The following is a 15,124-nucleotide window of genomic DNA, read 5'->3' as shown; positions in this document are numbered from 1 at the left end:
TATAAATTTAAAATATAAACTTTCTTCTACATTTCATATACAATCAACAACTAGATAAGAATCATCAACTAAAACAAGAAAAACAGAATTCAAAGTGGCTGGTTTATAATAACCATGTTAAGAGATGCTGTCAGCATTGAATCTGATGTGAAACACCATATATGTTTCTATGCAATTTTTGAAAAGGCCAATCTTATTTTTATTTGCCTGGAGTAACTGATCATAAGATTGGAGGGTTCCATGAAACCTCTTCATCTTTTCCCTTTAGCTTTATTAAGCTATCTTTCTAACTCAAATTCCCATAGATACCTGTATTTTTTAAAATGCAGATTATTCTTTAATTGCCCCTCCTCCAAAAGTAATTGTCAGTAACACCTAATGAATTAATCCCTTTCATCCATAATGTAAGGAACATTAATAATAACAAATTTTTAGTACCTGCAAATGGAGCAAGGAATACTAAGAGAGGAGTAGTTGATACAAGATAAAGTTAATTATAATTTTTCAGAGCTAGTCCTATTCTTAGTATGCAAGCAACTTACATCAAAATTTCAGACCATTTTTTAAAAGTAACATTATCAATAAGCTTTCAGAGAAAGCTAAGGTTCAACCATTTTATAATGAGAAGTATGCAATAAACCAACAATCCCAGATACTAGGGAATGTCGTTTTCATAAGCAGCTTTCTTATAAAACGTATTTCATACGAATGACAGTAGAAGGTTTATTTCAGGGAAACCAATCAGGTATAACTTACCACATCCCGAAAGACAACAGCACGAAGGCGATTGATATCAACATCCTGAAGAAGTCTATCCGGATCCTTAATAGGAGAAAGGTTACCTGGAACATTTTCCAATGGAGTCTTTGAAAATAAAAAGAATTGTGAATAGATAATATATTACAGATAATATATAGAAGTATCACTTCTTAATTCAGGCTAAACTGGTCACATCATGTATCTCCACCTCTCTGAGTTAACATTTATTGATCATAATCCTCTATTACAATGCATATTTTCTGCTCTCTACTCATGTCATGGTTTCCATACTAGCATTCTTGTTCTTTATTGGCACAGCTACCACTATAGACTCATAAAGGCAGGTAAAGTTATAGCAGAATAAAGATTCGTCTTGGACTTCAGAAGATTTCCTGAGCCTCATTTCTCTACCTCTAGTTAACAAATCTCTTTGAGCCTCTGGGTTCATTTATCCATCATGCTTTTATAATATATGAGATTATTATACTACACTAGTATATGAGATTTTGTATGTGTAACCATTTCATGGTCTATCCAAGGTTAGAAACGGTAAGATTAAAAAGAATCAGTCACAGCCCATTAAAGCTGAAAGACATTAAAGATTGTTACCAACAAAACATTTTATAGTTGGAGGAAAAACATCTACATATTTCAGGTAATGTAGTCACATAGTAGACTACTAAGTGAACTAGGGTCCCTGAAACTCAATCAAGTACTTTCTCACTTATACAGTGTGTTAAAAATTGTATGGATTAAATTAGATAATATGTATAATGCAAAATACAATTCCAGCCCATAATAGGTATGCACTTGTTGTTACTCTAACAATGAAAAATAAACAGGGTACCTTCTATTTCTCAATGAATGTCAATCATGATATTCTAGCCCAAAATTAAAATGTTTGATTCCTTGGCAGCACGCCATAGTAAAAAGAGCATAGTATTTAAAGGTTGATAGTATTTGGTTTCCATTACAATTCCAAAACTTCTGGCTATATGACCATCGGTGAGAAGTTAACCTCTCTGAACTTCAGCTACATCATCTGAATAACAGACTAATAATATTTACTACAGGATGGTTAAAGAAAATAATACATAATTTACAGCATAAATGAATTTATAACATAGATTTTAAGATTAGAAATATTTTCTTTTCTATATTTCTCTACCCCTAATCTAATTTGATCCTTATAAAGACAACATGATAGGAGAAGCTTGTGTAATTGTTCCTTTTCACACAGTATAAAAATGAGGTCACATGAAGGTATGGGATTCATGCAAGAAACTTGCAAGAAACTTTCCCACTGCATTCAAAAATTACTCGATTTACTTCCTAAAATGTCACATAAGAAACACATAACACAGGAAGGAAAAAAAAAGAAACACCACTCAGATCCATTCATTGTTGTGAAATGTCAAATCTTCCCCTAGTATTTTTACATTCATCGCTACTTACCCATTTTTCACTGCCAAAGTTCTTGCCAGATAAATACTGATTAGCTCAAGTAAGTTACTACCAATTTCCTTCCCACTGGGCTTTTCTGTCCATATTCTACAATCAGTGAAATACTAGTTATAAAAATCTTTAAGGACTTTCTATTATCTACTTTATTTAGTATATCTACAAATTACTAAATACATTACTATTTTGAAGTGCTTACATCTCAAAGGTGTCACCTTCAAAATACTATTTATTCGTTTCACGACAATATATTAAGTGTCAAACTGCTAGACAGGGGAACAAATCAGTAATAACTGAATGTTCACTGCATGCCAGAAATCAAAGCATGTCAGTCTATTATCACTTTTTGTCTAATTAATACAAACACTCTGTAAATTAAGATTTGTATCCATTTTAAAGATTAGAAAACGGAGGCACAGAAATTTAAGAGATTTCTCTCAGGTCGCAAAACCAGTTAAGTGGTAAAGCCAGAACACAAACTCAGAACTGTCTGATTCTAGAGTTGTCCTCTTTTTACAAAGTACTCATAGTGCTATAAATACTCTGAAGTGGCCGGGCGTGGTGGCTCATGCCTGTAATCCCAGCACTTTGGGAGGCCAAGGTGAGTGATCATGAGGTCAAGAGATCTAGACCATCCTGGCCAATGTGGTGAAACCCCGTCTCCACTAAAAATAGAAAAATTAGCTGGGCGTGGTGGCACACATCTGTAGTCCCAGCTACTTGGGAGGCTGAGGCAGGAGAATCGCTTGAATCCAGGAGGCGGAGGTTGCAGTGAGCCGAGATCATGCCACTCCACTCCACCCTGGCAACAGAGTGAGACTCCATCTCAAAAAAAAAAAAAAATTACTCTGAAGTTACAAAGATCTATAACACATAGACACTGCCCTCAAGTACCTATCTGTCTACTATGCCTACACAAATGATATCAGGCATTACTGATGATCCATTTGTATTTAATTTCCCAAACCAAATAAGAGCACTATGGAGTCCTGTGAGCAGTAAATAATATATAGTCAAATTACAAATGTTCTCTGACAGTAGTGAAAAAGAAAAAAGTTACAACACTGCAAATAACCAACGAATAGGATAAATATGTGGTCAGTCTGCTTGCCATCTGCAGAAGTTTAAAGCAATAGAACTTTTAAGATGAATTAAACTTCTATTTCATACCTTCACTTATTGAGCAAAAAGTTACTGTATCAATATTAAACATGTAATTACAAGTGTAATGAGTGATAACAGACCTATGTAATTTTATGAAAACAACAAACAGAAGGAACAACCCTAGACTGACTGGGGTGGTAGCGAGGGTGTCAAAAAACATTTTCCTGAGAAAATGTAGCATTTAAGGTAACCTAGTAGTTACATAGATTTTAGCTGGATAAAAAATAAGGATGAATACTTTATGGAAAGGAAATCATATAAAAGTCTGAGAAGTTAGGGGAAATAGCTTCTTTTGATGAACAGAATGAAGTCTATGGTATGACTAAAACAGCACAAGCAAGGGTAAAGGGCTGAGAGCTGCTGCTGGAGAAGTAAGCAAGGACCAGGCACAGAACCTCAAAAAGCATGTTAATGAAACTGGATGTGACGCCAAGGGCCAGTTAAGCATATGATAAAGAAAGCTAATTTAGAAAGAAAACTAATAGTATATTTCAAAATACTCCATTCATTGAATGGGCATTCAGTGAGTTTTTGTTGACTATTATGCCTACCCATTTAAAAGGAGAATTATTCATACATTAAATTCTGTGAAAATATATGACTATTAAAAATAGAAATAACAGTTTTTAGTGCTAATTATAATATTTGTAAGAACTTTATTAAGTAGAAATTGTTAGTAACTTCATTTAATAACCAAAACACACAAATCTCAGAGAAGTTAAGTAATCTTGGTAACAAAATTGTTAAGCAGCCTAGAGCTGCCTAATGACAATGTCCTTGCTCTCTATCACTGAGCAATACCATGGCACTTTGTTCTCATCAACTTAAAAAAGATTTTTTTCAGGTAAATTATATTTGGCCAAGAAAAAAAGTTTACTTACCTTCGAAGCTGCTGTAGCAGTCACACTTTGAGGAACTTCCTGAGGTTTACTGCTTCCATGGGAAGATTTATTTCCCCTGTCTCTCTGTCTTTGCCGACATTCTAAACAGTTTCTCACAGCAACACAACAAACTATTTAAAAATTCAAAAACATATTGTTAATATAAATTGTTGACTTTGATATCCTGGAAAAAGTTGCAAGTTTATTTCTTCTTCCCTTTCTTTCCCCTTGCTTCATAAACTATTAATCTTAAAATCAACTAGATCAATAATTTTCAAAATTATGAAATACAGTAGTGAAAGTACCTACAAAATATACATATAGTTAAAAATAAAACAAAATACCCATATACCACCAGCCAGCTGAAGAAATAAAACATTACCAGAGGCTCTGAAACCCCCAATGTATCCTTCCTTATTCTGTTACCCTCTGAGTTTCACAGTTCTGAATTTATGGATCAATAAAATATTTTAAACATAAAATTCATATTTGATTTAAAAATTTAATAAAGCTTCTGCCCTTAATTTGACTATCTTGTCGACTCTACTGAGCACAACTTCCCATTTCGGGCAATAATAGAGTACATCAGTATACTCAAGTCTCACAGGTCCCCAAATTCACCTTCCTTCATGGTGGGAAAGTCTCTGGGCTTTGTCAATAAGCATTCAATATGTACATGTTTTTATTTATTCATTTATTTTAAGAAGCAGTAGAATACTGTAACAAGTAGTACAGAGTTTGAAATCAGACCGTGACCTGAGTTTGAATCCTGTATTTTCCAGTTTGGAGCTGTGTGGTTTTAGGCTAGCTGCTTAAACTATCTGTGCCTCAGTTTTAGCATATGTAAAATGAGGATGAACAAAGTAACTGCCTTAGAGGGCTGTTGTGAGGATTAACTGAATTAATATATAGAAAGTGCTTAGAACAGTAAATAGCATAGGAGGTAATATAAGTGTTTTATTATTATTCACTTATAAAAGTTTCCTGTGGTTGATTAAACAACTAAATGTGCTAGTAGTATTAGGATAAAAATGAAATAGGGAGTAAAGTCTTGGACTATATTTAAAAATAAAAGTACAGAATAACCAAATAAATGCAGGTTTCAAGATATTGAGCCATTTTAAAAATATATATATATATCTCTTTCTCACACAGTTCATTTGACAGCTCTTGTTATATGTCAATGGAAATGTCTTTAATGGCCCACCGTCAGTTAACCCACACCTCTTGGTTGCCAGAAAGATCTTAATGTGGTCAATCTTTCTCTTATAATGAATACAAAATGATTCCTCTCAGCTTGCCTGTCTTTAAATAAATAATACGAAACAAACAAACAAAAAAAGGTTTCATCCCACCATTCTTAAACCAAGTCTTTGTTCCTTTCTTGAATCAGAAAGGAATTTTTGACATAATCTTTAAAAGTTATGGGTGAAAACAGTACATATCAGGAACGTCCTTCCTATTTCATGCCTTGCAGTTCTTATGTCCTGCTCATGATCTAAGGCAAGTACAAAAACAGCAGTTTTCTGGTTTTGAAAGTCTAAATAGTGTAAATAAATGTTCCTTTTAAGAGAGGTAGAAATGGTTCTTATCTAAAGAATTCATTCAGATTTACTAAGAGGTTTCAGTGCTAAAGTTTCACTGCCACACAGATAAAAGGTGAACAGCATGGGTATAACAATATTTATTAGGGACATTTGTTCACCCCAAGAAACAGTAAGATTGGGATAGTTTATTTTAACCTTCTAGCATTATGTGTATCTGACATGTTTGTGAGGCCAGGACACTACCCTCAGTATTGGTTTACCAAAATTGGATTCATAAATGGATTTGCATTAAAAATCACTTCAATGACAAATGTTAGTCTTACTGATTTTGAAAGAATTCCAAGTATATTTCACTCTTGATTTCAAACTATGAACCATTAAAGATGATCAGTTCTGTGAAATCTCCAATGTGAAGGCATAATTTTTTAAAATTTAGTAATTCTGATTAATTATAAAAATAATCTCTGTATCTCAAGATAATCTCCATATTATATAATCATCAACTTATATCATTAATATTTTATGTACCATAGTGCTTTATAAAGCTGCTCTGTAGATAATTATTTGACATGCACTATTGTTTTAACAGACTTACCTAATCTTAGGCACTGTCGCATTAAACCTCCAGAAGACATGTTTTTCTCAGCTTCAATCTCACTAAAATTTAGAGAGCTTGCAAACACAAGTACATCAACCATAGCCATCAGCCGGCTGAGGAAAGTTACTGCTGTCTCAGCTGACATGCCTTGTGTCACTTCAATATTTTCCAATTCCGTCTTTAAAAAAGTAGAAGATTTAAGTCTTGTTTAAAATTTGGAAATTTGGAAATATAATACATATACATACATACTACAAGTGAACATAAATTTAGTATATTTACCATATTTTATAAATAAAATAAATGTTCAACTAATTCCATATATCACCAGAGCTGGTTACCAAATTCGGTTACTTTACCTATCAATTATCCTTGAATAAAGGAAAAGCCCATTTTAAAATCAACATTAGTTTTAAATGTCTTTAGTTATAAAAATGACATCCTAAACTTAAGATCATTTCACAAAGATATTTAGACAGAACCACATATATGTACTTATACTAGTTTTGTTTTGTAATTTATAAAGATTTTAAATTGATATTTCTTTTCTAAAATCTTCATTCCCATTAATAAAAATATATGCTTTGATTTTTCTTTCCTATAGATGTATGATGAATAATAGGGAAAATACATGGTAATTTAACTTAGTATCAAAATGAGATGGCTGTCAAATTAGAATGCATAACAATTTCTTATCCATTTTAGAATAAACTGAAACTACTAGGTACTTTACATGTACGATAAAACTCTAGGGTAAAAATAATCAAGATCGCTAACTCATCTATAGATATTTAATTCGTGACTTATAAAACACTAGTAATAAAAAGAATCATAGCATTCTAGATTGGAAAACTGTACTTTCACTACATTTCTGATTTCAGAGGGAATATTACAAAGCATTGTGTTTCTTAAAATGCACAACTTTATGGTTTTTTAAACAATGTCAACATTTCTTATTTTGTTTTGCACCATGGACTATACAGCATTTTAATTATTTTTGTTCCTTAGGACTAGGCCTCATTTTATCAGTGCCTCAAGGAACCAAGGAAGGGAATACTTCATAAGTAAAAAAAAATTATTTAAATTTTCTGAAAATGGACACACTAGCCATTCCAATCAATATTAACTCTTAACCAAATGATAAATTCAACTACAAGGTTAGCATATGTAATAGGTATCTATTCCTATTTAATGTTCCATTTTGACACTGTTTATAGCCATCATTATACCTAAACTTCTTCCTGCTTGGAAGAAGCAGGAGCATTAACATGGAAACGTGAGCAGAAAACACTGAAAAAAGAACTCAAAATACTCAAAACATTTCTTGTGCACAAAGTGGGTAATAAAAAGGATAGGTGGCTACTACAAGCATTATATAACTAAGCTCAGTTTTAAATGATGTATAAAATGTAACAACCATTCCTCCTTCCATTTAACAGCAAAATAGGGTTAAAACCATTCTCTCTAAAATGAGCCTGGAAAGAGACAGAAATGTGTTTTCAGTTGTTACAACATTATGCCAATTCAGTACACATGGCATAAAGAAATGATTAATTCATTACTTGGATTTTAAAATGCAGATTCTTTACTTCTTAGCACTTCATGAATATACAGCATCACTTCATAATATCAATTAAAAATCTATGACCATGACATCATAGCTCATAAGAAAGAGCAAAAAATTCATTTTAAATCTGTTTTCAATTTAAAATGTTCTATAAAGGAATGAAGAACTTGGCCATTTCTTAGGTCTATCAAATACTATAAATAATTTTTCAAATGTTAGAATTTAGAATATCTAGATCTGTGTTCACAAATTCTTCATCATTTTGAATCACTGAAATTGCAGATAGCTATCTCTCTATATTCATTATTTAATGGTTTTGAGTGTTTTGACCTGTCAAACTATGCTTTCATTTTAAAATGAGTGAATTATAAATAGAATTATTAAGGTGTCCATATAATCCATCAAAGTGTTTTTTTGACTGAAAAAATTAAATTTTAGAGTAGAAGGCACTTTCAACACAACAGTCTAAAAGAGAATTTGTATTCCATTTTATATAAAAGTAATTTAAAAAATGAAGTATGTAAGCATCAAAAGATAGGGCTAAAAAATAAAGATCACTCTCATACAATTATTAAATCTTAAAATAATATATTTCATCCAATTTACTTTCCTTAGAACCAATTAAAATCTGATTGTACATATGACTGTAACACCATTGTGTTCAATATGATAGTTTAATCTAGGGATTATTGTGCATAATAAAATAGTAATACATCAATGCATTGGGAAAATAATCCTTTCAATGACTCTTTTAAATATACAAAAGATATGTCTCATGTTAAAGATGATATGAAAACTCAAAATATAACCAAGTCAAAAATTTCATAAATAAGTAAAAATAAAACTTGAAACTGAAAGCTGAAAATTACTACAAAAGTAATACTAACCTTAGAACCCTGGACATGCATTAGACAAAACAGACAACAGACCAAAAAGTACAAGAAAAGGAAATTATTAAATTAAATGAAAATACAATGTAAAATTGAAACACAAAATAATATATTTAAAAATTATATTTGATTATTTTATTAAAAGCAAAATTCTCAGAAGAGATTTTCATTTTATAAATTATACATGATCAAGGTTAAATATCAAATATTTAGACTTCAACTTATTTTTATTGTAGTAACTCTGCCCAAATAATATATATAAGTATAGTTCATATATTAGAAATAATGCATACTCTATTTTACAAAACAAGTATCTTTTCCTATAATTAATGGAACATTTTAATAAATAAGCTAACATAATGCCTCTGCAAAATCCCTACCTCAATTCTGGTTTAGGCAGAAATGACTCAGGGAAATGAACTATTTATACCAACCTCTAGAATTTTCTATAAGGAAATAATGTAATTTGTATTCTCAAATATACAGAAAGCTTCCTATAGTTGAAAATTCTGAGAAGTTAATAAAATAACAAAATATTTGAGAGATTATAACTTATAAACCACTTTTCCATGCTAGAAAATAACTTGATATACTAAATGAGGCCTGAATATGAATAAAGGTAATTAAATAGGTATTATACTAAGTTTAAGATTCTTATTACATTAATAATTATATTCATTATATTCAAATATCAGATAGAATTAGTTTTCACAATAAAAATCATCAACTATTCTTTCTAATTTTTGACAAGTACATGTGAGTATAAATCTTAAAATATGCTATTTTCATGGTACATTGTATAGGAAAACATATAAAAGCATCCTGAGAATAGTAAAGTATGATCAGTCCTATGACATAAACAAAAGAACAGCAAAACCAACAACATTATTCATAATTTTTCCAAATCTATTTATGATACATTCTGATAATAAAAATAAACTAAAATTAAGACTTTGTTATTTTTGGACAGAATAGAAAAAGCAGCTCTTCTTTCTTATAATTATGAAACTATTAGGAGAGCTAGAAATGTCAGTCTCTACTATTTTTCTGGGACAGAGAAAATTAAGCCCTGAATTAAGCTCCATAATATTCAGTGTTCTGGATGGCTGACTAAAGTGGTCAACTTAAAATCACAAAGTGTGCAATTTGTGGTTGATCCATGTTCTTTGCTTTTCTTTTTCTTCTCCAATTTTTCACTTTCATTTATGACCAAGTTAAACAATATATTAGAGAATAAATGAGAGGATTCAATTAACTAGTCACAGAAACATCAACTAAAAAAATCAACAACAACAAAAATAATGCTGCTTTCCCAAAGCAAAGATTGGCCAAACTACATACTAAGAGGTCTATTTTTTTTCCCTGAGTACAGTTAAAACTATTGGTCTAACTCGGAGATCTGAAACTATTTTTGTAATTTATTTTCTATGCTACATATGAATTTAAGTAATCTGGGCAAAACTGAAACTCCCATAAAGTGCTGCTTCTTCAAGAGTACTAAGTTCAAGGTGCTCAAACTATCATTATAAACAATATATATATGTTCTTTTTTTCTTAAGTTTCCATTAAGATATGTACCTTCCAACTAAGATTAAACAGTTCAAAAATTTTCTTCCATGATGATGATACTATAACAGCAATACAAAAATGTTATCTCTAGTATAAATTACTGTACTCATCTAAATTTCCAGGGCAGAAAAGAGACCACTTCTATGTCAATCTCACAGAAACAGCAGACAAAAAATATTTGTTTATGTATTGTCTATTGCTGCTTTTGTACTATCACAGCAGAGTTGACTAGCTGTGACAGATAACAATACTGCCAATGAAACCTAAACTATTTCCCATCTGGCCCCATACACAAAAGTTTGTGAACTACTGCCATAAACCATTATTATTCCTATTTCTTCATAAAATGCACACAAGAATATTCTGAAAAACTATATATATATAAACAAAATTACCAGCTCACTCAAACCTTAGTTTCAAATGTTTCCATCTCTCTTCATATATCTAGGATTAAAATTCTAAAAGCACCTACAAGACAATGTTTCCTTTCAGTAATCTTCACGTTGCCAATGTTTCCTTTTTTCACTTATCCCTTCCAAAATTCTCTTTTGGCTTTTTACACTTTAAATTTAAATATAAAAAGCCCAAATATTCGGTTTAATTTCCCTCATTATTCAACCTCCTCTTTCCCAACTTTTTCCCTCTGCTATGTTACAACTTCTAGCAAGAATATTATACAACCCAGTAATACAAAAACAACATTCATAATAGAAAAACAACATTCAGCAGTCAGCACCAATCATAGTTCTACCAGATACAAAATGGGAGAAAGGTTCGGCTATTTCTCTTAAGGAAGCAATTCATTCTAAAAACATAAAATCAGCTATGTTGTACAACCAGGCATAGGTCCAAACAGTTAATGGGCCAAAATAACAGAAATATAGAAATTGAGAAAATAAACAAAGGTTTCTATAATTGAATGAATTCCCAAGTCTGTTGAGATAGTCTAGGTAATAAATAATTTTAAATTCCAAACTACAGTGGTCAAAATTGAATCGTAATAATTTTGGAAGCCAACCTCAAAGCGTCAGTATCTTTACTGTACAATCATCATAAAACAAATAAGCAAATTTGACTGGTGCAATAGTATGTATGTTATAGTTTACTTCATTACTTTAATATTCTATCTTAATAGTTAAAGATCTTTTGCCTTTAAAATTTGGAAAACTATTTAGTAATGTGAATATTTTAAACCTATACAAATTGAAATAACTTATTGCTAAACTGTTTTTTTTACATAAGAAGCATTTTATGTTCCATGCAAAATTTAAAAACATTCAATATTACATTTCAAAGTGAATTTCAATACAACCTTTTAAAAATTTCTTCATAACAAATGATAATTTATAAAACAAAATGCAATTTATATGATCAAGAAAAATGTCACAAAGAAAATATTGATTTATTCAGTCTTCAATATATAAAACAAAAAACACGTTGGCCGGGAGCAGTGGCTCATGCCTGTAATCCCTGCACTTTGGGAGGTTGAGACAGGCAGATCATTTGAGGTCAGGAGTTTGAAACCAGCCTGGCCAACATAGTGAAACCCCATAACTACTAAAAATACAAAAATTAGCTGGGTGTGGTGGTGCACACCTATAATCCCAGCTACTTGGGAGGCTGAGGCAGAGGAATTGCTTGAACCCAGGAGGCGGAGGTTGCAGTGAGCTGAGATCGCCCTACTCTGCTCCAGCCTGGGTCACAGAATGATACTCTGTCAAAAAAAAAAAAAAAGAAAAGAAAAGAGAAGAAAAAAATGCCCTCTATGTCTCACTATTAGAAAGCATTTTAAAAATCATACACAACTCTCAATTTACCAGAATTTGGTATAAATCACCAGAGGAAAAGAGAGATTAAAGAAAAGGAGTGGTGTATGTATACTTGCACTCTTCACACACCATCAACAATTTATACTGTTCTTCTTAGCTCCATTTCCTTGGTTCAGCTGCTAATTTGATTAAGGCCCTACTGGTGACTTGCTCTGTTGCATTCCTCCTTCTGAACTGGAATGCTTCCCTTTGTGGACTTCTTGAGCAAATTCATGAATAAAACAGAAGAGTAAGGCCTGGGGAAAGTGTGTGAGGATATAGCCTATGGCTGCTAATGTTGAAGTTTCAAGGCTGCTCTGGTGATGGTGGTGGCATTAACAAAAGAACAGTAAGAAAAAGAGTCATGTAGAAAAAGCTTGTTAATGATGAAATACACTTAGAGATCAACTTGGAAACAGTGTCTCACCAACTAAAGCACATCTTAGTAAAATGAAATATTTCCCTCTGGCAAAGGTATGCTTTCTGAGCTTAAGGATGAGTTTCTAATACGGCAACAAGAACGTGGGTAATATGGGAAGCAAAATTCTATATTCTTTCCCATCTGAGCAAGTAGCTATGGAGTCTGCCTTGGTCTGAATCAAAGAATTTGTTTTTAATGACAACTAAAATACAAAGTTAACATTGACCTATTTTATTTTAAATGACATACACAATTAACATTAAATGCCTTTAAAATGTATTATATTAACACATTTCAATGTTTTATATAGAAACAAATCAAGACAAGGCTAGATTTTGTAAAATAAATGTTGAATCAGTAAATAAATGAAAATGTTAAATAACAAGGATTTTAAGAGTTTATTTATACTACAGATTTGAAGAGATATACAATATCTTTGATGAAGAATGCAATACTCTTCTGATGAAGTATTCATCAGAATTACCAGAGAAACATTTTCATAAGCACACACAGCTGGAACCCAACACTGATAAACAAAAGTGGTGGAAATAGAAATTTAAATGGTTAAAAATTTGCCTAAAAAGTACAGGTCTGGTTAAAATGTGTTTATAGCCTAGACCACCACTGAAATGCTAAAGTCATGTATTTATAAAATATAACCACTAGATGGAGGCAAAGTACTTACAGTTGGTGATGTAGCAGCAGAGAGCAAAGGTAAAATTCCTCCACAAGCAATGATGATGTTGTCTACCATTTGGGAAATGAGGTGAATTGTGTTATGTACAAAAATAATATTTTCATTGCTATTGACAAAATCCATTACAGACTTTGTAGAATGGCTAAAATACAGAAAACAGAAATGAGTATGTTTTGGCTTACTTAAATGAAAAGCTTAGACAATTAGAATAACAAGTGAAAAATTATAGAACTGTAGGAGCTAGCTATATTTAAAATTAAATTATAAAATAAAGCAATTTATAATTGAGATATCATATTACCAAAAACTAAGCATTCATCTCCACAGGATTTTGTTGTATCCAAGTATATTAACTCATTATATTATTACTTTGCTTGAAAAATACAGTACTAGATTCTAAGACATATGACTGACTCAACAAATTTGGCTAAAAATATTTATTTTGCCAAATCTGATTGTTTTTTGTTGAAAGGCAAAACCTTTTAAATATAAAAAGTATGTCTAATGTTAAAAATAATATGGAAACTCAAAATATAACCAATTCAAAATTTTCATAACCATAAATAAAATTTGAAACCGAAAACCTAAAAATTTAACTGAAAGTTCTATTTTGTAGGCAGTTTCAATTTGTCACATCCCCAATGACTTCAGCCCCACCTTTGACTAGTCACATTGAAATGTATACTGCTAAAGAAGTGACATGATAGGGGAGTATAAATAAATCAGTACAAATTCAAGAACTTATTTAATAAGAAAAGGAAAAAATCTCAAAGTAAGTTGGTAGTACAGTGTTCTCATACAAAACATACAATGTAGATGTCAAAAAAATACCCTGCTTTCGTTTGGTGTCAGTCAAGAATATAATTTTTTTTTTTTTTTTGAGAAAGGATCTCTGCTGTCACCCAGGCTAGAGTGTAGTGGTGGGATCATGGCTTAGTGCATCCTCAACCTCCCTGGGCCCAGGAGATTCCCGAGTAGCTGGGACTACAGGTGGACACCACCACGCCTAGTTAATGTTTGTAAAAACAGGGTCTTGCCCTGGTCTCGAACTCCTGAGCTCCAGCTATCCTCCCGCCTTGGCCTCCCAAAGTGCTGGGATTATAGGTGTGAGCCACCACACCTAGCCTGAACTGTTTTTTAATGGGAAAAAAATAAGATTAAAAAAAAGAAATTACTTCATGGTCAAAATTGAGTCAATAATTCTCACCCTTTTAGAGTTGTGAATTATTATCTATCACTGTGTATCTTAAATTTCAAGATGTTTCTCTCTGTCCTAAAAATAAAGTGTTACCTTTAAAAAATTTAAATTACATTAAATTCTACCTGGGTAATTTCATGAGAGCCCATTAAAGAAAACAAAAACACAGAGTAGGTGGTTGGAAAAAAAGCTGAGTATCACTCACTTGGAGGCTACTGATATTATAATTATCAAATTACATAATTTATCTCCATACATTGGTCTTCATGTTAATAGCAATGTATTTCATGGTATTTAGGTTTCCTCAGTTACCATCTCTAGGTAATTTATCATATAACAATTAGCAATGAAAGTATATGAGTAGTCTAAGAACAAATTGATCAAATAAAATCAAAAGTAAAATCTTTCTATGGCAGACTTTATTGACTTCTTCCACAACAGTCATAACTTTTTCCCTGCTAACACACATTTTATATTTTGTTTTATTATTGAGCTTGACTGGGTATAGGAAAGACTAGCCTAACCCTAGTTACTAGTTAATTAACCAGTATTAGTCTCTAAAAG

The 15,124-nt window shown here is 31.5% G+C and overlaps 1 protein-coding gene across 13 annotated transcripts in view; it reads right to left on the bottom strand.

The window, feature by feature from the left end:
• The window catches only part of NBEA (neurobeachin), a 730,467-nt gene that overhangs the window by 494,877 nt on the left and 220,466 nt on the right, over positions 1-15,124 (bottom strand). For 9 of the 13 annotated variants that reach the window (XM_047430271.1, NM_001385012.1, XM_006719803.4 and 6 more), the window contains 5 exons: positions 13,351-13,504; positions 8,865-8,873; positions 6,408-6,588; positions 4,266-4,396; positions 757-864 (listed from right to left, as the gene is read on the bottom strand). In XM_047430271.1, the coding sequence (XP_047286227.1) occupies positions 757-864; positions 4,266-4,396; positions 6,408-6,588; positions 8,865-8,873; positions 13,351-13,504 (583 nt within the window). The remainder of the gene's footprint in view (positions 1-756; positions 865-4,265; positions 4,397-6,407; positions 6,589-8,864; positions 8,874-13,350; positions 13,505-15,124) is intronic. The other 4 variants (NM_001379245.1, XM_006719806.4, XM_006719805.4 and 1 more) reach the window with 1 other exon arrangement.

The sequence above is a fragment of the Homo sapiens genome, chromosome 13 (genome assembly GCF_000001405.40).
Source record: "Homo sapiens chromosome 13, GRCh38.p14 Primary Assembly".
NCBI lineage: Eukaryota > Metazoa > Chordata > Mammalia > Primates > Hominidae > Homo > Homo sapiens.
The sequence above is the reverse complement of the archived record's forward strand: the minus strand, read 5'-3'. Positions and strand labels throughout refer to the sequence as shown.